At 35.1% G+C, this 26,542-nt stretch overlaps 1 protein-coding gene across 15 annotated transcripts in view, besides 1 other annotated feature; it reads right to left on the bottom strand.

Moving 5' to 3' along the window:
- CRISP2 (cysteine rich secretory protein 2) overlaps positions 1–26,542 on the bottom strand; it is a 37,569-nt gene that overhangs the window by 5,597 nt on the left and 5,430 nt on the right. For 6 of the 15 annotated variants that reach the window (NM_001142407.3, NM_001142417.3, NM_001142435.3 and 3 more), the window contains 6 exons: positions 18,420–18,536; positions 17,556–17,643; positions 16,114–16,259; positions 15,612–15,709; positions 13,588–13,676; positions 10,111–10,652 (listed from right to left, as the gene is read on the bottom strand). In NM_001142407.3, coding sequence (NP_001135879.1) covers positions 10,525–10,652; positions 13,588–13,676; positions 15,612–15,709; positions 16,114–16,259; positions 17,556–17,643; positions 18,420–18,536 — 666 coding nt within the window. In that variant the 3' untranslated portion in view covers positions 10,111–10,524. Of the gene's footprint in view, positions 1–2,178; positions 2,306–10,110; positions 10,653–13,587; positions 13,677–15,427; positions 15,533–15,611; positions 15,710–16,113; positions 16,260–17,555; positions 17,644–18,419; positions 18,537–26,542 lie in introns of those variants that run through there. The other 9 variants (XM_011514841.2, NM_001439002.1, XM_005249356.2 and 6 more) reach the window with 5 other exon arrangements.
- Positions 11,394–11,594: a silencer, noted in NCBI's record as "peak5838 fragment used in MPRA reporter construct". NCBI's record gives its function as "represses an SCP1 promoter by STARR-seq MPRAs in K562 erythroleukemia cells {active_cell/tissue: K562}" and the evidence as "EXISTENCE:reporter gene assay evidence [ECO:0000049][PMID:32103011]".

The raw sequence follows: 26,542 nt of genomic DNA on the forward strand, positions 1-26,542 counted from the left end.
ATTGTGGCTTTAGGTGCCGTCTATACAAAGATGATTTTCAAATCTTTATCTCCATTTTAGACTAAATCCCTCCTTATATATTCAACTGTCTTCTCTATGCCTACACTTTCAACATGTCCAAACTGAACACCTGATTTAGTTCTAGCAACCATATAACATACTCTAGTTATCTATTTATTTTCTTTCTCTCTTTCCCTTTCTTCCTTCCTTCTTCCCCATCCCTCCCTCCCTCCCTCCTCCTCCTCCTATTCCTCCTGTTCCTCCTCTTCCTCCTTCTCCTTCCTTCCCACCTCCCTCCTTCCCTCCATCTTTCTCTTTCTTTCTTTTTCTTTCTTTCTTTTTCTTTCTTTCTTTCTTTCTTTCTTTCTTTCTTTCTTTCTTTCTTTCTTTCTTTCTTCTTTCTTTCTTTTCTTTCTTTCTTCTCTCTCTTTCTGTCTCTTTCTCTTTCTTTTTCTTTTTTCTCTTTCTTTTTCTCTTTCTTTTTCTTTCTTTTTTCTTCCTTCTTTTTCCTTCCTTCCTCCCTCCCTTCCCTCATTCCTGCCCTCTCTCCTTCTCTTCCTCCTTTCCCTCCTTCCCTCCATCCCTTCCTCCCTTCCTCCCTTCTTTTCTTCCTGTTTCAAGTTGAGGTTACCAGGCACAGTGGCTCACACCTGTAATCTCAGCACTTTGTGAGGCCGAAAAGGGGGGATCACCTGAGGTCAAGAGTTCAGAACCAGCCTGGCCAACATGGCGAAACCCCATCTCTATTAAAAAACAAAAATTAGCTGGGCATGGTGGCATGTGCCTGTAATCCCAGCTAATCTGGAGGCTAAGGCAGGAGAATTGCTTGAACCCGGAAGGCAGAGGTTGTAGAGAGCTGAGATCACGCCATTGCACTCCAGCCTGGGCGACATGAGTGAAACTCCATCTCAAAATAAATAAATAAATAAATAAATAAATAAATAAATAAATAGAGACATGCAGTGTATACAATACAGCACACAAAATCTTAATTGCATAGCTCATTTAATTTCTAAACATGTGTATACCTATGTAAATAGCACTCTAAAGGGCTCCTTCATGTTCACCCAACCAGGACCCTTCAAGGTTTAATCCATTTCTTGTCACCATTTTTATAATTATGGGTTTTTAATATAATAGAAACAGCCGGGCGCAGTGGCTCATGCCTGTAATCCCAGCACTTTGGGAGGCTGAGGCAGGCAGATCACGAGGTCAGCAGTTCAAGACCAAGATGGTGAAACCTCGCCTCTACTAAAAATACAAAAATTAGCCGGGCACGGTGGCAGGCGCCTGTAATCCCAACTACTTGGGAGGCTGAGGCAGGAGAATCACTTGAACTGGCGGGATGGAGGTTGCAGTGAGCCGAGATCATGCCACTGCACTCCAGCCTGGGCAGCAGAGTGAGACTCCATTTCAAAAAAAAAAAAAAAAAAAAAAAAAAAAAAAATATATATATATATATATATATATATATAGAAGTTGATAGGACTAAGTCACTATGTAATTTATAAAGACATATTCTAAGCCTGACTACCATTGAACTAAAGGTTTTAAATGTCACATTGTCAAAAGTGAACACATTTTCATGAATACAGAACAAGTAATCTACCTAAGAGCTTTATATAAAGGAAATATTTATTTTCAAATTAAATGTCCAGTTTGAATATATTTTTCATTCAAGCTATGAGCTAATTTTAGTTTTCATCAGGAAGCAGAATTGTGGTAGTGCTTAAAAGTATAAGACTTTGAGTCCTACTATATCTGTACTGAGTACATGCTTTGATGTTCCTTGGCTGATTGTATCTGGGCAAAGTACTTAATCTTCCTATCCTTGTTTCCTCATCCGTAAAATAAAGAGAAAGGAATATTGGGAGGATAAAGTGCAAAAATGAATATAATCGTCCCTCAGTAGCAATGGGGGATTTATTCTAAGACCCTTTGAAGATACGAAAATCCACTGAAGCTCAAGTCCTTTATATAAAATGGTGTAGCATTTGTTATGACCTACACACACCCTCCCACATACTTTAAAACATCTCTAGATTGCTTATAATACCAGATACAATTTAAATCCTATACAAACAATTGTTATATTGTATTTTTTAGGGAATAATGACAAGAAAAAGTCTGTGCATGTTCAATACATATGCAACCATCTGTATAGTACTTTTTTCCTACTATTTTTGATGATCAGTGGTTAGTTGAATCCATGGACGTAGAACTCACAGATATGGAGGACCGACTATATAAGGAATTCAGCATGGCCCCTGGGATACAGTATGTTTTCTAATTAACTTCTGCAGTGCTAAGGGGAAGCAGAGAAGAAAATTAAAATGTATTGAGTATCATTAGTACCTCTTACTCTTGAATATCTTACATACTTAACTTAAAAAAGAAATCTACTTAATTTGAAATAAATCAATATCCAATGGCATTAAAATTTTAACATGTAAATTAGGGGTATCTTATACAATCATATTTCTCAATACCATGGGGTTTAAGATCATTCTCATTGTTTTTATATGTGGATGTGTTTGGATTTGTGTGCCACATACATACACACACTTATATAGTTTTCCCCTCTACCTACTATTGAAAGGGACAGAAAGTCTAAACTTTCAGTCAATTAGTACTGGGTATCCTTTGGCTCATAGAGACTTTTTGCATGCATACTAACAGAACTTTCATCTCCTCTGTAGCATATCCCCTTTTGTTACTCTCTACTCCAGCCTCTTTCACAGCTCTGGGATGCTAAGGACTCTGATGCCTGGGAACTCTGTGAGCACACTGCCAATAGTTCCAGGTCTCACAAATGAGTTTCTGTTTTGGGCTCCCCGGATGCCTCCCATGGCTGCCATTGCCTCATCAGCCCCCACTGCCTTTGCCACTGGCCACCAATGCTGCAGTGATAAAGATGGACACTTCATATGAGCAGCATGAAATGGTGTTTTCTGAAATTTCCTCTAACTTAAAGTCACACTGTGTTCCTTTAGAAAGTCGTAAGACAGCATTTCCGCCCTTTGGTGTTACACTGTATCATTTTATGAATCATTTTTATGATCCTAAGGAAAGGTTGTCTCTGCAGTGACTGGAGATGTCTATGTCCTTATTTCCTACTTCTAAAATTATCAACTGATGAAGGCAGGGACTCACTTTGTTCACTGGTATTTCCCTGACAGCTCTGTTTATCTTTGTATGTTAAAAACCATAAATTCATACCGATACCACCAATTTCAATAGAACACCACAGGGTTTATTCCTACATTCTCCTTTCTCATATGTTTAAATCCCTTCTCTAATAGTGAGAAACCTGGTTCTCATTATTCATAATGTATTTATTCATTTGTTCAGTCGTAACATATATAGTCAGTTTCAGAACTACTAACTCATGTGTCTATGGTAAAAATAAACACAACTTTATTGACTGGAGTCAAACATTTGTTTGCAGTTTTTATCTTTACCTAGAAGGAATATGGCATTATAATACTCATTAGGTCGGCTGTTTTTTCCCCCACTTTTTATTGTGATTATTTATTTGAAATATAGTTTGTTTTTTGTTTCTATCCTGTTTTTGGGCTTTCCCCCACTTCTTAATTATATTAATTATACTTTATTTTAATGAGTATGTAAGACATTAATATAATTCACAAGCTGAAACTATACAAAGAGGAATACCCAGAGAAATATCACTCCTCCCAACCATTTTTTCTTACACCATTGTCATCCTCCAACCAGCCCACCCCATTCTCAGCCACCCATGGTATACTAGTGTCAATACTTTCTAGTATACTCTATGTTGCATCAACATTTTGCAAAAATGTGAAGCCATATATTTTTTGTATTTATCATTTTTTAATACAAAAAGTAGAATACTATAAAAATGTTTTGCTCTTCGCTGTCTTTCAATTAGCAATATATACTGAAGATACGTCCATATCAGCTCATAAATATCCTTATTATTCATTTTAAAAGCTGCATAATAATCAATTGTGTGGATGCATTGTAGTTTATTTAACCTGCCTTTTGTGTATGTATAGATTATTTCCAATACAAATAACATTTTAATAAATAATCTTGCACATATGTATTTTCATATTCTTGGAACAACAATATGAAATTGCTAGAAGCGAATTAATGATCATTTCTAAAGGACTGGTAGAGTAAAGGATAAATGCACATGCAACTTTGTTAGATATTGCCAAATTTCCCTCTCTGGTTTCAAAATGAAAATACCAATAAAAAACCCACAATGAGATACCATCTCACACAAGTTAGAAAGGCGATCATTAAAAAGTCAGGAAACAACAGGTGCTGGAGTGGATGTGGAGAAATAGGAACACTTTTACACTGTTGGTGGGACTGTAAACTAGTTCGACCATTGTAGAAGTTGGTGTGGCGATTCCTCAGGGATCTAGAACTAGAAATACCATTTGACCCAGCCATCCCATTACTGGGTATATACCCAAAGGATTATAAATCATGCTACTATAAAGACACATGCACACATATGCTTATTGCGGCATTATTCACAATAGCAAAGTCTTGGAACCAATCCAAATGTCCAACAATGATAGACTGGATTAAGAAAATGTGGCACATATACACCATGGAATACTATGCAGCCATAAAAAATGATGAGTTCATGTCCTTTGTAGGGACATGGATGAAGCTGGAAACCATCATTCTCAGCAAACTATCTCAAGGACAAAAAACCAAACACCGTATGTTCTCACTCATAGGTGGGAATTGAACAATGAGAACACATGGATACAGGAGGGGAACATCACACACCAGGGATGGTTGTGGGATGGGGGGAGAGGGGAGGGAGAGTGTTAGGAGATATACCTAATGCTAAATGATGAGGTAATGGGTGCAGCACACCAACATGTCACATGTATACATATGTAACAAACCTGCACATTGTGCACATGTGCCTAAAAAAGCCTTTAATTTTTAAATACAATTATCAGTACTGTCTATAAGCCTAAAACTTTAATTTTAATCTTATACTTAACAAATATACAATGTATAAAATATTAAGTGAAATGTTTTATTAATGTATTAGCATATTCAATAAATAAATATGAACTAGCATATGTAGTATAAACGTTGATAAAGCATGAATCATTCTCAAGCTACTAAAAATTTCTTTTTCTTACATCACTTTCTGCCAGGAGTAATATTATCTAACTCTTCCTGTCCTTTGACATCACTGGAAGCATCACATTGAGCTTCTAAATTTTCTATGCAGAAACTTTTCATTCCTAGAATCTTGAAATTCAGTGTTCTCGCACAAAACTCTTGTCATGCGAACAAGGGCAAATGACCACACAGTACCCATGCCAAAACTGCTGGAGTTGGGATTACTGGGGAAAATTCATAGAGGAGGGGTCAGAGGGTTAATCTGTTGTTCATCACCATTTGGGTCAGTGTGAAGAGATACAGTAGGTTCAGACATGAGACTGTTAGAGATTTCCATCCTTGAGCCCTGGAGCCTTTAAGTTTCACGATCACACAACGTGGGTTTCTCCTCTCATGTACTCAGGGGCGAGGATCAGAAGTGAAATGAACCTTGCTTCAGTTCCACTGTGGTACCTCTGCTTTCTGGATTGGGGCAGGCTTGGGGGACAGTTACCCCTCCCCTGATGCAGCAGAGGCCTGGGATCTAAGCCGGATGGTTAAAGTCACATGGCGTAACAAATAAACAACAGTATTAGGCACACCTGTGTTCACAACTGGGGAAATACCAGCCCTTCCTTTGATATGCCGAGGGACTGATGTTCAAGTTTTGAGAAACTGTCTCAATCACTGGGCCATAGCTTGTTGCCATGGAGCTTTGAAGGAAGTCAGTCCCATCTCTGGGAGGTCAACCTGCAATGGATGAGTCCTAAGACAAGCAAAGTCTTACTGTTCACTCTTAGTTTTACATCTTTAAAACAAATTAACAAAACTATGGTTCTGAAAAATTAAGTGACATGCATATTTACAGTTGGAGAAAAGCTTGAACAGGATTCAGTTTTCCTTGTATTTAGAAAAGCGTGTTTGTTTTTGTGTTATGTGGTGCTTCTTCTGTTAATACTAGAAGACTTTAAGATAAGGATGTTTCTTTTTTATTTTTTAAGGCTAGTCAACTGGGAAATATACAGAATATAAATACAAATAAAATACAAAATAAAAATGCTTTTTTTTTCAATTAGGAAAATACATTAAAATATTATCTGCCACAAATGAGTCACTGGGCATTTACTAGCAACCTAGCTGGTAACTAATTGGGCTTTAAGGTACAGGCCAAAAAGCCATTATATTGTGATGAGAAAATATTCCGAAAACAGATCTTACTCTGTTAATGTTACCTGTTGAGTGGGGATTGCCTCTAAATTTTGTAGAAAATTTTGAATACCATTAATGTCTATGCTGAGAGCCTCTTTCCAAAATGACTGCTTTACATTACCTTATTTCCACAAAAATGCATTTTTGAATCTCATTACTTTCATTTAAAAAGTCTCATATTGATTAAGGTATTATTAGTTGAATTATTTGTAGCAGTTACATTATCTTTATAGTTTGCTCTGAGTAAACACTAGCTGTACACCCTAGATTATGATTTTCTCTTTTCTTTTCTTTTATTTTTTTGGGGGGGACTGAGTTTTATTCTCGTTGCCCAGGCTGGAGTGCAATGGCGCCGTCTCAGCTCACTGCTACCTCCACCTCCCGGGTTCAAGCGATTCTCCTGCCTCAGCCTCCTCCCAAGTAGCTGGGATTATAGGCACCTGCCATGACGTCCGGCAAATTTTTGTAGTTTTGGTAGAGATGAAGATTCACCATGTTGATCAGGCTGACCTGATCCTGACCTCAGGTGATCTGCCCTCCCTGGACTCCCAAAGTGCTGGGATTACAGCTGTGAGCCACTGTGCCCAGCCTGGATTATGAATTTCTGATGAAAGAAAATGACCATTCCTAAAGCATAATTTAAAACCACCACACATATTTAGACAGACCCTTTTATACTAGCATATTTAAAATTATATTACAGACATCAAAACATCCCAATCAACACCAAATTAATATATACCTCTAGTATGGTATTTATCATATTGGGCTATAATTACTTATGTTTTTATTATTTTCTTGCTTATATGTATTTTAATGCTATAAAATGGCACTGAGTTATTAATCTATTTTACTGGAATATAGCAGAGTCCTGGATGATAATAACATTGTTTATTAATCACTCATTATGTGCCAAGCAGTATTTTAAATAACTTACTACCTAAACAACTCAAAATATTACTAAAACTAATTAGTTTAATGAGATGACTGGATATAAAATAGGTATAAAAATTTCTTTTTTAAAAATAATAACAATAACGCTTTAATCATTAAAAATTTACTCCATAACTTTTACATTTTTAGGAATAAGTTTTATTAAAAAGAAACAAAATGTACATTAAATATTTTCTAATGTTTTCTAAGAACATAAAGTATACTCTGAGTAAATGGAGGAACTTATCACATTCTTAGATAGTATGGGTTAATCTAAGTTCTAATCAGAATCCCCCTCTCCTCACTATTCTTAACAAAAAGGTGATAAATTCACCCTCTTCCACATCACTCTTTCTTTCCAGAGAGAAACCAAGTTAGAGGACAGTGGGAGGGTTTTCAAAGCAGAAGACAAAAATGAGTATATTAAAAAAAATTCTCAGCTGTTTATAAGAGCATCTTCTATCTTTAAAATTTCTATATCTGCTTTATTGGAATTAATAAATATCAGTCAGCAATTTAAAGAGAACTTGCATTTGGAACATAGTTATGGATTTTCCTAATGTAAAATTCATATTGTTTGCTTATCAAAAAAGTTTTTAATATTCTGTACCCTTAGGTATCTTGTCTCCTATTTAGTCAATACCTGATTGAGAACAGAATTGATGATAAAGACATCTCCATTCATGTGGTAAATACTGAATGATAGCCTACCATATGTACACCACAGTGTGCATGCACTGCAAGCCATAGGAATAAATAGTCACAGGTTTCTCCTGGGGTAACTTAATATTTAATAGAGAAAGCACGTTTTCATGAAAGAAACCCAAACAAATCCTGTGTGATCCAAGAGGAAGGAGTAATTTCATATGAAACATTTGACTGAAATTAAAATTAAATACGATTCTGACCAGATTAAGTAAGAAAAACTAAGATAAACAAAAGCAAGGAAGTATGAAAAGAAATAGGCTGAGGCACAATCAAATGACAGAAATCAATGAATTATGGGAGCATGAATGTAGAAGGAAACACAGATTAATAGTTAATACATGACCAAATGAAGGAGGAACTTGAGTTAGCAATGATATCATAATGTTCACTGAAAATGTTCATTTTGGAAAAGATTCAGCAAAATCTATAAAATCAAATGTTTGTGGGTATTTGGAGTATTTCTGAAGACATTTTACTTTAGATTTGGACATTTTCGTTGGTTAAAAAGGTATATATCAAAATCGTCATTAACATTTTGAAAAATTAAATAACTATACAGTATCTAAGAATTTACTATTATTATTGTAGAATGAAGGTAAGCTTAGTGATACAAATTCAATTATATAAGACAAAACATACATTACACTAAAACAACTGTTCAGTTTAGTGGGAGAAAAAGTGTTTTGAGTGTAACTCTTAATTAGCAATTAAATTTTAAAGATTCTGGTATAGAGGGTTTTTTTTTTTAACCAGTCACTAGAGTTAGATAAATTTTAAGAATGCTATGAGAATAGCAAAGATTTTCCTACTACCTGAAAGTATTTATAAAGGTTATTTTTTAGTCACTTCTGTTAAGGACCAGATCAGATCTTCCACCCACAAAGCTAACTCTAATCTTAAAATTTTAAAGAAAACTCTGTATTTAAAACCTTTCAAATGCCACCCCAATAACGGAGTGCTTCATATGAGAACCACTCAAGTGGAATATTCTGTTTGCTTCTCTCTCACATTGTCACACTACCTCAGTGCTCTTGCAGTTACAAATATAAATATTCCTTTTCTCTCCTAAAATAGGCTTAAATATTTTAAAACATAGTTTGTAAGACACTTGAATTATTAAGATTAGGATGAAGAAACGCTCATCTTGTCAAAAAATCAATTTCCAAAGAAATTCTTGGGGAGCTATATATACAATGAATATATTCTATAATAGGCAATTTATCTTCTAGACACAGTTTAATTTTGATTTATTCTTGTAATTTGTTTCAAGTCTGTGTCAGGGTATGTTTTCCTTTTACTATATTGCTGATACATTTACTAAATGTTTGTTTAAAATTTTTTCATCTATGCTCATGATAGCGATAGATCTCTCTCTATATATTTTTTCCGTTGAAATGTCTTTAGTTTTAGTACTAAGATAATACTATCTTAAAGACTGAATTAAGAAGTATTTTCTCCCATGTAATTTTCTGGAAGAAACTGTAAAATTGCTATTAATTATTCTTTTAAGTATTTGACAGAATTATGTGGTGAAACCATTTGGGGGCCTAGAAATTTCCTTTTTGGAAGCTTTAAGATTATTAATTCAATTTCCTTAATGGTTATAGGATGATTCAGATAATCTGTTTAATTCTGTAGGCATTAGTAGCTCATGCTATTTCACCATCTGTCTAGCCAGATCTACTTTCTGGTTTTCAATAACCTTTCCACTTTTAAAAAAAGTTTTAGTATATGTTTTCTCATCTATAAGATGGGCTTACTTTACCCTGTCGTTACCAACCTAATATTGATTATTCCACTTGTTTGTTTTCTTGGAAGGCTGTATTTGTATATTTGGTTAAATTATGTCCTCTTTTCGTTGGCTTTAAAAAAATCAACTAAACCAGTAGGGAGATCAAAATATCAAAAAGGAGAAAGCAAGTAAGAGTAGAACTGATTAATTTTTTGTTAAAATTTAACTTTATAGACAACTATTTTGAAAATGTTGCTGTTTTATCATTTATCTCAGATGAATCTAGCTGGAGTTAATTATGAATGGTATAAATATTGCATAAGAATCATATCATATGGTTGCTTAGAAAAGTTCTTTGTTCGAAAAGCTGATTACTTTTGTTTAAAAGAAAGGTCATTAAGACAACGGCAGATGTAAAGCTTTGAATTTATTGTTTATGCAAGTAAAAACTCAGGTAGTAGGAATGGCAATGATGTTACAGTCTTCTTCTTTAGCATGTTTCAGGAAATACGTAATGCACCATTTTGATCCAAAGTCCTAGTGACCTAAATCCTATGGTTATACAGTTTTCAAAATCCTCAACCTGATTCAGTTCGTTATAAAGCACTAAATTTATGTCAGAGTTCACAGTTGTCATCATCTACTATGCTACTTTTGTAAATCATTGCCTGAAAGTGATTTCTGTGATGATCTGGGGGAGAAGATGCATTGCTCTTTGAAATCAAATTTGTCACTAACATACATACAATTTCCACTGGTATGTCGCAATTAAATGATGCAGCCCTTATCCATGCAGTCTTGCACAATGCTCACTAGGTAAATCAGTAAATTTTGTTCTCACATAGGCAAGTAGCCTTGCACTTTTCCTTGAGTAACTCATGTTCACAGCCAGCTGTATTCTTCAAGGAATCACAGTTACTTAGGAGATCTTGATACTGGCAACTATTGGCTGTAACAAAAACAGATTAGTTAACTCATTATCGTTTTCCTCAGTAAGAGCAAAACCATACATTCAAAGTGTGTGGGGAGGGGGTAGGAGGGAACAAACAAGTTAGCATCGCTTACACTACAATGGGTCTTTCATGTCTTTATGGCTGCATAGTATTCCATGGTGTATATGTGCCACATTTTCTTAATCCAGTCTATCTGGATCCAGGGACATATGAGGTGTCTTAGTTGAGCTCACTGATAAATCCATCACTCTTTAAATTCCACATTTAGTGATATGTTTCTAAAATAAATTGACCTATTTTTCCCCCTCAGCAAGCAGAATAATATGAATGTAATTAAATCTTTCTATGCCTGCACAGCCAAATATGGGAGCCATTAGCCACACAGAGGTATTTAAATTAAAATTAAAATTTTGGTTTCTTAATCTTGTTAGCCACATTTCAAGTGTTCAAAGTGTGATTAGTAGCACATGTTGATAGAGACTCTTTCCATCATATCATAATATTGGGCAGCATGGCATTACACTCCAATGCTTTTTTTGAGTAAATAATCTTTATGGGTGGATAAAAGTGTAAAACAAGGACAATACGCCCTTTTCCTTTTGATGTTTCTACTTGGATGTTCCCTAGGGACCTCAAACTCAATAAAACTCAAATTAAACTCCTTGTATTAGCTAAAAGGCTGACAATTCTCAGCAGTGATCTCCCTGCACCACCCACAATCTAAGGGAAATGAAGAAAGTTCATTCTTTTTCCTTCTCTTTTTCATATAGCCTGTCTTCAAGCTCACTGATTCTTCTGTTTAATGAATTCTGCTGTTGAGACCATCTAATGTTTTTTTCAGTTTATTTATCGTATTTTTCAGCTTCAGGATTTCTGTTTTTCTAAATGTCAATCTCTTCTTCAAATTTCTCTGATAAATTTCTAAATTGTTTCTCTGTGTTTTATTGAAGTTTGTTGGGCTTCCTCCAAACAGCTATTTTGAATTCTGTACCCTAAAGATTACACATTTCCATCTTTCGAGGGCTGGTCACTGGTACTTTACTTAGTTCTCTTGATGAGGTCATATTTTCCTGAATGTTCTTGAAACTTGTGGATTACTATCTCAATATCTAGGCACTAAAGAATTAATTATCCTAGTCTTTGCAGTCTGGGCTTGTTTGTACCTGTTTTTCTTCAGAAGGCCTTCCAAGAATTTAAAGGAGCGAATAAGTCTCCTAAGATGGCAGTTATTTCATTATTAGATGATGTTCTAAACCCAGGTTTGCTGCAAACTTGGTTACGAGAAGGGTGACATGGACAATTCCCTGGATGCCACAGCTGGCACTGTGCCTTGATGCATCTGAAGCCCATGGACTCTCAGACCAGGACAGAACCAGGGCTTGCCCAAGGCCAGCAGCTGTTATGACTTTCCAGCTACTACAATTCATTTGGGGTCTGAGGCCATTTTAGTTGACCAGTAGTACTGGGACTTGAGTCTGTCCCACTGGGGCAGTGGATTCCTTTTTGGTGCTATGGTGGGTCTAGAGGCCCACCAATCTGGATACCAATCTGCATACCAATCTGGATTTAGGAGCTGTGGGTTTCTTACTGGTGTGTGTTTTGTTGTGGCAGGCTCAGTACTAAATCCAAGGCAGAGTACCCCACACACTTCCTTCTCTTTCCCCCAAGTGGACAGTGTCTCTCTCCCCTCTGTGTTACCTAGGGTTTATGAGAGGGGTGATGCAGGCAATCCCATGGACACAGCAGCTGATACCAGCTGATACCATGACAGATGAATTCCAGACTTGTTAGCAAATAGCATTCAGCAAAATGTATAAGTATTCAACTATTTTTTTCTTTTTTTTTTTTTTGAGACAGTCTCGCTCTGTTGCCCTGGCTGGAGTGCAGTGGCCGAACTCGGCTCACTGCAATCTCCGCCTCCTGGGTTCAAGCGATTCTCCTGCCTCAGCCTCCTGAGTAGCTGGGACTACAGGCATCCACCACCACACCTGGCTCATTTTTGTATTTTTAGTAGAGATGCAGTTTCACCGTATTGGCCAGGTTGGTCTCGAACTCCTGACCTTGTGATCCGCCCACCTCTGCCTGATTTATAGCTTTGGTATCATTAATATTCTGAAATATAGCTATATAACTGAGTCAGAAAAAATGCTTAGTAAAGGTGAATGCATTGAAGAGGTAAAAATTTCAGTGATGGTGTCAACTTTATCATTCATAATAATTTTAATAAAAGTATCCCAACTACAGAAAGCCAGCAGCTATTTTTACTTCTATTCATGGCAATTTATTAAATGAGATATATGGTATTTATTTCATTTTCTCCTTTTGCAAAAATATGTGCACAGTTTCTATGAGCCAATATTGTATATAGATTGAGTTTTGTCATAAAAATGTACACAAAACAATTATGAAATTATAGGGCAAGTAATCATTTATTAAGGCAAACACTATGATCCTAATTATACTATAAAAAAGAAGTGAGGAAATCAGCATGACAAACACATTAGCACAAATAAACAGTAATATTTGGCGTGCCTGTCTAGACTGAGCCATAATGTGGTCTCACACTTTAGATTTATACATTTTGATTCCTTTAAAATACCACTTTTGGTATAGTGATATGAACTTTGAGAATTGAACTATTTACCAAAATGGTATATGGTTAATATTAAATGGCTCTGAAGAGCCACAAAAACACATTGATGATAAATATTCCATTATGTTACATACGGCAATATGCTTTTCATTACAAATAATATGTAGCTCCTGCAGTGTGTAAAATGTTTGTTTAAGCATACTTTGTTGAATAATTTTGGGTTTTTTCACCAATACATTATTTCAATTCATTACGTTAGGAGATTTGTTAAATTATATAAAGAAAAGATAATATCAATTCTATAATAAATAATAGCAAGCTAATCACTTCAAACTTACTGCATAGTCCTTTGTCACAGTCATCAGGGCAACCGGCACAAGGTGTTCCTTGTTGGTACGGGGTATTCTTTCTATTCATATTATTACCACTGAAATTTGAAATACATGTCAAATATTTTTCACTTTACTGTTTATACTCTAAGGGCAGTATCAGTCATCAAATATACATAAATAGTTATTCAGGGTTTTTAGTATGTTAACAAAACTGAAAAATTACAATTCCCAATGTGTATTTCAGATAACAATCCAAATTAAGAAAATGCTTCACACATGGACATATCTTCTTGACCATAATTTCACAGGCTGGGTAACTAAATTTGATGACAAGAGTCTGAAATTTTGAGAGTATATTCAGTGTGGCAACACTATCTTTATCTCCCATTATATTTAGTCAAATTACTAAGGCAGTGTACCCCAAGGTGCCAATTAGGGGTAAAACATCCTGTAGAGGGAAAGGAGAAGATCCTAGGAGTAGCAGGTTGTGGCAGGAAATGAATATGCAATGTTAAAATATCATTTTCCATTTGAAAAATGGAAAAAACTCCATAGTATCTCTAACAGAAACTATGAAAAATATAGCTCCAGAGTATTTTTTTCTTCCAGATGGAGGTTGCGATTTTTCAGTAGTTAGTGGTGTGTGTGTTTGTAGGAGTGTGCTTAGGAAGGTTTGTGAGCTTCTAGAGGTGGCATGTATGAGATTTTTACATTTACCAAAATGGAATATTAGTTTTTGTTATCCCAGAACTTAAAGTAAAAAAAAAAAAAAGAAAAAAAGATTAAAGAAAAGTTTTGATAAATACTGATATCCAGGATATAATAGTTTTGCAATGATTAACCATAGGATAATGATGATCATTATTCTATTGGCCATTAAATTCATTTAAAATTATGTGGGAGTCCAAATCTCAATAGACCAAGTGGGGTAAGGACCCAAGGAAGTGCAGCTGAATCTCAGTCTCTTTGCCTAGAATATAGCTGTGTGTGTATGAGCTCTTGGAAAATTGTGAAACAGATATAAAAGGATTTTAAAAGTTCTAGTTCCCTTGGCTTCCCTCATGATCTATTCCAACTGTCACTTCTGACACCTGGCTGCTGATGCTTCCCTCTGAGGGCCAGTAAGTGAGTTTGGATACATTCTCCCAGGGCCTTTCAATTCTCTCTACTTGAATCCTAATAGGTACTTTAAAGAAAATGACTTTGGAGGTTATACTTCTCAAACTGGAATCGTACATCATCTTCGCTATCTACAGTCTCGAAACAAATCCTGTAGCTGTGCCCCCCACCGCAGCCTCCAGTAGTAAAGAATTTCAAACACTAAATTTGATATTGTGAATATCTTCTTAAAATATCCATAGGATTTATTGTGGATAACTCTAAACATATTGTTTAATGAAGAAGCATGTTTACTGCTACAAATCAAACCTTACAAGATGGTTAAAGAGCTTTCTGTGAACAATTCTGAGAATCAGAGACTTAAGATGTTATCTTTTCTGTATTCTGAAATAAAGATGTCCTGAAAAGCCATTGAAATCCAAATGAATGAATAATTTGTAATGGTAATTGTGTGTGGTGGTGTGTGTGTGTGTGTGTTTTACATAAGCAGAAGTAGGAATATTTGAGCAGAAAGGGCCAAAATCACAATCCATCTTCCATTTGCAATCTCACCAGCACCCTAAAGCATCTATACTCCTAGAGTATGAAATTAGCAAGATGTGATGATACCAATTCTAGAGAAATACATATTACACATGCTCACAGAGTAACCCTAAGCTGAGGGAAGGCCAATTGAAAGAAAAGACATTATTCTGTTAATGAGGAATGAGAGCTTCAGTTTTTATACCTGAAAGTGAGAAGTTGTTCTCCTCTGAGAAGTTGAAAGTGTCTCAACCTTAAAAAACATTTCCAAACGTTTATCCCCTCCCTTTTATTGAGATATGTTTTCATTCTGGTTTAAGATATGAGAATTATTAAAAAATAAATTGCAGATAGAATTATTGCCATTAAACTCTAAACAGTCTACTTACGCAGGACAATATTGGCAAACATAGTAGTATTTTAGACTATCTTGATTGGGACAGTAGGCAATTCCACAGCCTACCTGGTAAGTCGAGTACCAAACAAGCTGCAAATTAACAATGGAATAAATATATAAAAGTACATTAGAGAAGATGAAAAATATTTAAAAAAGTAGCAAATATAAAACTGAAAAATGTTAGTTTTATAGACATATACCATAAAAATATTTAAATTATTGAACCAAAGTCATAAACTTTAAAAATATTTAATTTTCATGTACATTCATCACTTTAAAATTTATAATGTAGGAACAATACAGAGTCTGCTTTCCTACTAAGAGTTTGGCTGACCATGGACAAAAATGACAGCTCTACAACAGCCAAATGCCAAGACTGTATTCTACCCACTCGGACTGTTCTCCTAAATTGAACATTACAGTGGTCATAATTTGGAGAAGCTTTCCTCTATTAGAACATCTGTGACATAGGTATTTTCATGCATTCTTCTTACCTGAGTATAATGTCCAACAACTGCATTGGGACTCTTTGGTCCTACACCATAGACAAAATCTAGGATCTCGTCATACCAGCTTTGGATTGCAGAAGACCAGGAAGTAGGGTCACTTGACATATAGAGATTCTCACCACATCTTGTACCTAAGGGGCAGATCATTCATGAGCAAGGTAATAAACATGCAATGGTAAAAGAAATTGACTACACAAACACAAAGATGTTGCCTTTCAAACCCAGGGTCCAGCAGATGCTAACTGTTGATTAATACATAAAGGAGTGCCTCAGTTCCTTATCAGCTATAAAGCTGATTAGAACACTTAACTGCCTGACACACTGAGGTTGGCCTGACCACATAAAACTTTGAGTAGGTTAACACTCTGCTCCTTAAAAATGCCCTTGCATGCTAAATTTTCCACATGTGTATGCCTTGAGTGTTCCCAGCTGTATATGGTAAGCTTGCTAAAGGCAGTGACCAACTCTTATATTCTGTTTTCTGCTCTAGTAACCCTCAACAGAGATTTTTCAAATATAGGACCCCAAATAAATGTATAAGACTTTGTGTGAAATCTGAAAAAAAGACTTTATAGGCTGTCTTTAAGAGTCCCAATCAAGAGAAAACTGACACCAGGAAGGATAACAGTTTTCAAAATTTATGGGTTTTCTCTTAACCAGGAAATCAGATATCACAAGCTGAAATCCTTGTGAGTTTGTCAAGAAGTGCCTTACAGCCCAGAAACACTTCATAAATTATTTGGGCATTTACTAGTTTTTATAATCCTTGATATGTCTTTTTAAAACTCGAATATAGTATTCTGTGCATTGTAGGTATCCAGTCCACACAAAATACTTGCTAGTCTGATATTAAAAATTAATATATTAATATATTCAAAAATATTCATTTTTATAGAAATTTTGAATACGATAAATTTAAATCCACTTTATCCACTTTTATCCACTTTAGAGCAAAACTTAGGAATAATTCATCATAAGTTCAATATATTTTATGGATACAAAAAATAGATTTCAAAACATCAGACAGCTACATAAATTAACAAAAAGGGCAGTGGGTTAGAAATCAGAAAGCTTGGTTAAAAATTTCTAGTATGACACTGTTTCAGATTATGTTCTTGGGTAAGTCACTTTTCTTTCAAATTCTGGCTTTCTAATCTTTAAACTTACAAAAAGAAAGATGATATAAAATCTGCTGTACTCATGAGCTGGTTGCAAGAAGCAAAATTATTTGCATAATGTACACAATAAAAAAACACAAAATTGTTCTTATTGTAAATACCCCTCTGTATACAGATACTTTGACTTCAAAAAGACAGCAGTATAAGTAACATTTATTTTCAAAGTCTTCTTATTATAGAGCATCCTACAATGCTCTATTATTATTTTATTCATTTATTTATTCAACAAATATTTACTAATTTACATACTGGTTTTGCGGTCCTCTGGATCACTATGTTGTAAAGTGCACTTGTTTGCCCACCTTTGGGCATTCGTTGTTACCTCTCTGCTCCATTCCTAAACGTCACAAGAAAACAAAATACACTTAATGATTCAGCCACAATGAAACATACACTTTATAATCTGATTTGTAAATACTTTAAAATTTCTGTAGATGTATTCTCTAATACTACTGTTATTAAAATGTTTTTAAGTGTTTTTATCTCTTCTGGTGCCAGTTTACACATGATGGGTAGTCCATAGGTAATATATCTAAAAAGCAAAATAAGACAATAATATGTGATTATTTATGATAGCAAAGCAGCCATACCTAGGATATTTATTAATGATGCTAGTCTAAATATTGATAAGCATGTGAAATATTCTAATTATATTTTAATAGTAATAAGATGGCCAACGTTATTTCCAATTCCATTTGTTTTCATATGTAAGCCATTGCTTTCATATCGGAGATACCAGTCTTTCAGGGACTGTGCCCTGGGAAGTGGGCTTTTACTCACAACAGCTGACACATATCCTGAAGGAAGGGGGATTTCTTGATTGTAAACCAGAAAAGAGAATTAACAAAAAGTGTAATGGCTTAACACTGAATGCCTGAATATTTGACTTCCAATTATGCCTTCCAAATTTAAAAACTCTGTATAATTGAGTTTTTTTAACCAGCTTTAAAACAAAAACAAGAATACAATCCTCTCCATATAATGGTTCAAATAAAATAACAAAACAGAGACACAACTTTGTAAACCACAAAGTTCTTAAGAGATGCCAGTGGCCAGCCGTCGGCTCCTTCCACAGCTGATTCACACCCATCTCCTTACAGCACTGCCTCTTACCATCTTTAGCATGTTACTGGCAGGTGGAGAGACTGCTTTCCTTAGTTCATTGTGTTTATTTACAATCTCCCTTTGCACTTGCAACTGGGTGGTTAACAAAGCAGTAAAAGCGGGATCCTAAAAGAAAATAAAATTGGAATTATTATTTAACAATATTGTAAATTTCATATAATAGTGAATAAGTTAATTCAAGAGAACAAAGGTCACTTTAAAAAGTGCAAAATAGTTATCATGTACATATATTAAATACTAAAGTTATTTAAATAATAAAAGCCAATATTAGTTGTTAAGCATTGCCACTAAATCTGAGTTGAAGATATAACTTTTAAATAGTAAAGTAGTAGACTGAAACATTTAAATAGGAAAGTAGTAGATTAAAGCTTTGGGAATTGTGAGTAACTCATGGCATGACAAACTAAAAACCCCTCTGAGGCCACAAATGCCGATTTCTGGTTTCAAGGGAACTTTTCAAAAAATAATTTTGGGGGAACAGGTGGTAAATTGTTGCATGAATAAGTTCTTTACTGGTGATTCCTGAGATTTTGGTGCACCCATCACCCCAGCAGTGTACACTGTATCCAATGTGTAGTCTTTTATCCCACGCCACCCTCCCACATTTTCTCCCAAGTCCCCAAAGTCAATTGTATCATTCTTATGCCTGTGCATCCTCATAGCTTAGCTCCCACTTATTAGTGAGGACATATGATGTTTGGTTTTTCCATTTCTGAGTTACGTCACTTGGAATAATGGTCTCCAACTCCATCCAGGTTGCTGCAAATGCCATTATTTCATTTCTTTTTATGGCTGAGCAGTATTACGTGTGTGTGTGTGTGTATATATATATATATATATATATATACACACACACACACACACAGTATATATATATGGCTTTTATGGCTGAGTATTACGTGTGTGTGTATATATATACACACACACACGGTATATATATATACATTATATATGTATACATTATATATGTATACATTATATATGTATACATTATATATGTATACATTATATATGTATACATTATGTATACATATATAATGTATATATAATGTATATATACACGGTATATATATAATGTATACATTATATATGTATGCATTATATATGTATGTATGTACACATTATATATGTATACATATATAATGTATACATTAATAATAATATATATTATATAATATATATTATTATATATTATGTATTATATATTATATATTATTATATATTATGTATTATATATTATATTATATATAATATATAATATATGTAATATAATATATTATATTATACATAATATATAATATATATAATATAATATATTATATTATACATATTAATGTATACATTATATATGTATACATATATAAGTTTATATTATATATGTATACATTAATATAATGTAATATATATTATATATATTATATATGTATACTTATATATGTATACATTATATATATGTGTACTATATATATATATATATATATATATATATATATATATATATATAACATTTTCTTTATCCACTCATTGATTAATGGGCACTCGGGCTGGTTCTATATTTTTGCAATTGTGAATTGTACTGCTATAAACATGCGTGTGCAAGTGTCTTTTTTTCATATAATGACTTCTTTTCCTCTGAGTAGATACTCAGTAGTGAAATTGCTGGATCAAATGGTAGATTTACATTTAGTTCTTTAAGGAATTTCTATACTGTTTTCCATAGTGCTTGTAATAGCTTACATTCCCACCAGCAGTACAAAAGTGTTCCCTTTTCCACATCCACACCGGTATCTATTATTTTTTTAATTAAATTATGGCCTTTCTTTCAGGAATAAAGTGTTAGCCTCATTGTGGTTTCGATTTGCATTTCCCTGATAATTAATAATGTTGAGCAGCTTTTCGTATGTTGGTCAGCCATTTTTCTATTTTATTTTGAGAATTGTCTACTCATGCCCTTAGCCCACTTTTTGATGGGATTTTTTTCTTCTGATTTGTTTTAGTTCCTTGTAGATTCTGGATATTAGTCCTTAGTTGGATAACTAGTTTGCGAAGATTTTCTCCCATTCTGTGGGTTTTATGTTTACTCTGCTGATTATTTGTTTTGCTGTGAGGAAGCTTTTTAGTTTAATGAAGTCCCATTTTTTATCTTTCTTTTTGTTGCATTTGCTTTTGGGTTCTTGGTCATAAGACATTTGCCTTGGTCTTAGACATTTGCCTTAAGCCAATGTCTAAAAGAGTTTTTCTGATGTTATCTTCTAGAGTTTACATGGTTTGGTCTTAGATTTAAGTATTTGATCCATCTTGAGTTGATTTTTGTATAAGGTGAGAGATAAAGATTCAGTTTCATTCTTCTACGTGGATCTTGCCAACTATCCCACCACCATTTGTTGAATAAGGTGTCCTTTTCCCACTTTATGTTTTTGTTTGCTTTGTTGAAGGTCAGTTGGCTGTAAGTATTTGGCCTTATTTCTGAGTTCTCTATTCTGTTCCATTGGTCTATGTGCCTATTTTTATACCAGTACCATGCTGTTTTGGTGACTATAGCCATGTAGTATAGTTTAAAGTGGGGTTATGCGATGCTTCCAGACTTGTTCTTTTTGTTTTGTTTTGCTTTGGCTATGCAGGCTTTTTTTTTGGCTCCATATCAATTTTAGAATTGTATTTTCTAGTTCTTTGAAAAATGATGATGGTATTTTGATGGGAATTGCATTAAATTTGTAGATTGCTTTTGGCAGTATGGTCATTCTTACAATGTTGATTTTATCCATCCATAAGCATGGGATGTGTTTCCATTTGTTTGTGTCATTTATAATTTCTTTCAGCAGTGTTCTGCAGTTTTCTTGTAGAGGTCTTTCACCTCCTTGGTTAGGTATACTCCAAAGTATTTTATTGTTTTTTCAGCTGTTGTAAAAGGTACTGAGTTCTTGATTTAATTCTCATCTTGGTTGCTGTTGGTGTATAGCTGTACTACTGATTTGTGTACATTGATGGCTAAAGATAGGACTACAATCTGTTCTGGCTTACAGGATTTCTGCAGATAAATCTGTGGTTAATCTGATAGGTTTTCCTTTATAGGTTACCTGATGCTTTTGCCTCACAGCTCGTAATATTCTTTTCTTGATCTTGACTTCAGATAACCTGATGACTATGTACCCAGGTCATGATCTTTTTGTGATTAATTTCCCAGGTGTTCTTTGAGCTTCTTTTATTTGAATGTGTAGGTCTCTAGAGAGGCCAGGAAAGTTTTCCTCAATTATTCCCTCAAATAAGTTTTCCAAACTTTTAGATGTCTCTTCTTCCCCAGGAACATCAATTATTCTTAGCTTTGGTGATTTAATGTAATCCCAAACTTCTTGGAGGCTTTGTTCATTTTCTTTTTATCATTTTTTTGTCTTTGTTAGAATGGGTTAATTCAAAAGCCATATCTTCAAGCTCTGAAGTTCTTTCTTCTACTTGTTACATTTTATTGTTGAAACTTTCCAGTATTTTTTGCATTTCTCTAAGTGTGTCTCATTTCCAGGAGTTGTGATTGTTTTTTTATTTGTGATATTTATTTTTCTGGAAATTTTTTCATTCATACTTGTATTACTTTTTAAATTTTTTTGAGTTGGTTTTCACCTTTCTCTGGTTCCTCCTTGAGAAGCTTAATAATTAACCTTCTGAATTCTTTTTCCAGCAATTCAGAGATTTCTTCTTGGTTTCAATCCATTTATGGTGAGCTAGTGTGATCTTTTGGGGATGTTATAGAACGTTGTTTTGTCATATTACCAGAATTTTTTTCTGGTTCCTTCTCATCAGGTAGACTATGTCCAAGGAAGGATCTGGGGCTCAAGGGCTGCTGTTCAGGTTCTTTTGCCTTGAACCCTTGATGTGGTACTCTCCCCCTTCTCCTAGAGATGGGGCTTCCTGAGAGCCAGACTGCAGTGATTGTTATTGCTCTTCGGGGTCTAGCGACCCAGCAGAGCTACTGGGCTCCAGGCTGGTACTGGAGAATGCCTGCAAAGAGTCCTGTGATGTGATCCATCTTCAGGTATCTCAGCCATAGATACTGGCACCTGTTCCAGTGGAGGTAGCAGGGGAGTGAAGTGGACTCTGTGAGAGTCCTTGGCTGTAGTTTTGTTTAGTGCACTGGTTTTCTTGAATGTTGGTTATGCTAATAGTGAAGTTGTCATGTGGACAGTCTCAGGACCTCTGGTTAGCCAGGATGTTACAGGCAGTGGAATTAACTGCTGTTTTGTCTTTCCTTGGAGTAGAGTTGTTCTGAGTTGCTGTAACAGCTCGAGTTGGTTTCAAGACAGTGTAAGCTGTGGTAGTATGGGGGGATACAAGTTTGCCCTAAGGTCACCTGGATAAGTATTCAGGTTTTTCAGGTGATGGGTAGGGCTATAGAGCTCCCAAGAGTTTATGTCTTTTGTCTTTGGCTACCAGGTTGGGTAGAGAAAGACCATCATGTGTGGGCAGGATTAGGCATATCTGAACTCTGACTCTCCTTGGTGGGGGCTTACTGCAGCCACTGTGCAAGATGGGGGTGTGGTTCTCAGGCCAATGGAGTTATGTTCCAAGGGGGCTATGGCTGCCTCGGCTGCTTCATAGAGGTCACCAGGGAAGTGGTGGAAAGCCAGAAGTGACAGGCTTCACTAAGCTCCTAGTCAGCCAGCAAGGCCAATCTCACCCCTGCTGTGCTCCCTCAATGGCCAATAGAGCTGAATTTATATCCAAGCCTCTGTTGTGCAAGTCTGAGATCTTGGTCCAGGCTACAACCCTCCCCAAGGAGAGACTAAGGAGGGCTTTCAGGCCTTTCCCCATTTCCCACCTACTGCAGCTTCTGTACTCATATCCGTACTTCCCATTCAGAATCCCAGATCTGCCCAGAAAAATTTGCACTTGGTCAAAATTATTACAAAGTTCAGCTGGAAGTCTCCTCCCTGTGGCCCTTCTCTAATTCCACTGGCTTTCCTCTTTGAGGATCTCTGTGAGATAAAGTCAGAAATGGCTTCCCTGGGCTTCTGTGGGAACTGGGAGTGCCTACAGGGCTCTTCTCACTGCTTCTTCTTCTTTTTTATTTTGCATGGCTCTCTAAATTCATTTCAGCCTTAAGTAAGGTTAAATCTTTCTCCCATGATCTGGATTTTCAGCTTCCTCAGTGAGGATGTGTGTTTAGAGGCAGATTTTCTTCCCTCACGCTTTGGGCCCTCATAGTGTTTCAGCTATCTCACAGAGTTTGTAGCGTCAAGCCACTTCTTTCAAATGGTCTGTGAATTCTTTCAGTTTTCCTGCCATGCTCCTGCAGTGGTTCTTGGCACAAAAGTTCATGATGTGAATCTCCACATATTGTTCTGTTTATCCAAGTGGCAACTGCAAGTTAGTCCTGCCTCCTATCTGCCATTTCCCCCAGCAAGGGAACTTTTAATATGATTTGTATAGACATATGAATAATAATATTTTATAACTACAAGCATACAAATTTAAAACCTTGAGATATATTCATTCACATTTGATCAGGCTGCAAGGTAGGGTAAAGCTGGAGCCCATGATTCATCTTAAATTTTATGGGGCAGTTTTCCTTGACATGGTATCTGCCTTTAAGGAAAAATGTTTAGGCCCAGTTGAAGTGCATGTCTGCATTCAGTACTATAGTGAAACCATTATACCTATTATGTAGCAAATTTTATGGGTTGCTTAAAAGATAACTTTGTAAAACTAAAAAAAATTTAAAGCAATTTGGAGGGATCAAATCTATCTAATGAATGGACTATTGCTGACTTTGTTCCTTTTAGTAACAGAAACATAACTGATAAGGTATTAAATTGGGTGCTAATATGTTTGGTTTATCTTTGTGGTTGTATATTTGTCTGTGTGTATGGTATGGGGCCTGCTAAGCCTGGAGGTGGAATAGGATGTGAAAATTCCTGGGTAAAGGTCCAAGCATTTGATGACCTAAATTTACACAAGAATATGATGTTATATAGGAATGGGCAAGATTTTGAAGTATAAGTCTGAAAGGAACAGGGCTCCTCATGGATTTTTTCTGACACCTTGCAATAAGTTATCCTCCTCTCCTCCCATACTGAGTTCATTTAAGTCTCTCAAAATACTTACACCATTGGTCTGAGCATCTTATTGCCATTATCTACAATATATACATTTCTCTTTCCTGCTTTTATGTTCCTAAGAACAGGGACTGATCGTGGACGCCACTGTACCAATAAATATGGCAAAGTTACTGACTCATAAGTTAGAAAGGATGTGCATATAAAATATCAGTAAAGGCAGATTTCTAAATCACATCAAAGCATAAAATAACATCCCTGGATATTTTCTCTCGACCTAAAAAAATCTGGTTTTTGTGGTTTCATCTCAAAACACATAAAAAGTTAATTTCTAAATTATTTCCTGCTTCTTACACCTTTTTGCTTTGTAGATAAAAATTGTACTGAAAAAGAGATGTATTTTTAAATGTGTTAATAAAGTTATTACATGACTAGAAATATTAAACATATCGAGAATAAAATAAATATGGTATCTATCCTTAAAGAGTTTATATTGAATAAGTGACGTGACATAAGTAAAAATTACAATACACATGATAACAAAACTGATCTTAATGATCTACAAGATAGGGAGGAAGGAGGGATCAATTTTTCTTTGAAGTCAGAGAAAGCTTCATAAAATGTGATTCTGGGGTTCTGAAAGATGAACAGAGTTTTCTAGGCATCTTGAAAACATCAGAAAATCATACTGGGCAGAGTGTTTATAGAGCATCTGATTTCAAACATTTAGTGGTGCCAAAGACAAAATGACATCTCACTTTTTAATAATTTTATAAATGAAGACCAGGAGATGAGCTGAGATGTTACAGGGGATTGGAAACAGGTATGAAAGAAAATCTTTCAGGGAAAGAAATGAAAAGAACAGCAAATTATTTGAATGAGGCCCTAGATGATGAATGAATTATCTGCACATTGATAATCTAATTACAGTAATACAATGACTATATTTCTGAATGCCAAATGAAGTTTGAACTGAGTGTCAGAGTCCTCCAGTCTGAAAAGTCCTAGCGAGTCTAATGTGCACAGAGTTAATGGAAGATATGACAAGAAACAGCAATGCCAAAGCTGTTTCAGAGGCTACCTGCTCAGGAGATACACACTGCATGTGAGCACTGCACATTTTATCACTGAAGATTGCTGACCATATTATGGGGTCAATTCAACAAAGTAGCATATTAGAAATAACTCTAGGACCTGAATTCAAAATCCTCTTGGCCCTTCACATACTAACTCTATTATCACTACTAAACAAAGCACTAAGGCTTTTAGAGTTAGGGTTTTTGTTTTCTTAATTAAAAATATAAATCTAATTATTCTTATACCCTAACTATACAAATTAAATGTGTTAATATAGTGGAGAAATTGTGCTAATTTAATATTATATAAGTATATTGTTAATTTTGTATAGGGATCTCATTAAAAAGAAATAAAATTAAGGAAATCAGAAAATAGATTGGAGCAAGAGGACTATCATCAGCTTTCTAACCCCATAGACCAGTGTTTACTAGAAAAATAATTTAAACATGATATGCAATTTTAATTTTTAAGTGATATTAATTTAAATAATACATTTTATTTGTAATGAGTTAGGTGGTAGACTCCAAAAAGACATGTCCATATCCTAATGCTCAGAAACTGTGAATGTGTTCTTATTTGGAAAAAGTCTTCGCAGATGTAATTAAGTTCAGGATCTCAGGATGAGATTAGCCTTGATTATCCAGTTGCCTCTGAATATAATGACAAGTGCCTTTATGAGACATACAGAGAAGGGAAGATAATGTAAAGATGGAGGCAGAGATTGGAGTGATGCAGCCACAAGCCAAGGAATGCCAAGCAGTGGCAGAGACCACCAGAAGGTGGGGAAAGGCATGGAACAGGTCCCTCTTAGATCCTCCAGAGGGAGCTCAGCCCAGGAGATAATTTGATTTTAGATTTCTGGCCTCCATAACTGTGAGAGAATAAGTTTTTGTTGTTATAAGCCACTTAGCTTGTGATAATTTGTTGCAACCACCCTAAGAACCTAATATATTATTTAATGGAATATCCAAAATATTATCATTTCAT

This window comes from Homo sapiens, chromosome 6 (assembly GCF_000001405.40).
Source record: "Homo sapiens chromosome 6, GRCh38.p14 Primary Assembly".
In the NCBI taxonomy this organism is placed as follows: Eukaryota; Metazoa; Chordata; class Mammalia; order Primates; family Hominidae; genus Homo; species Homo sapiens.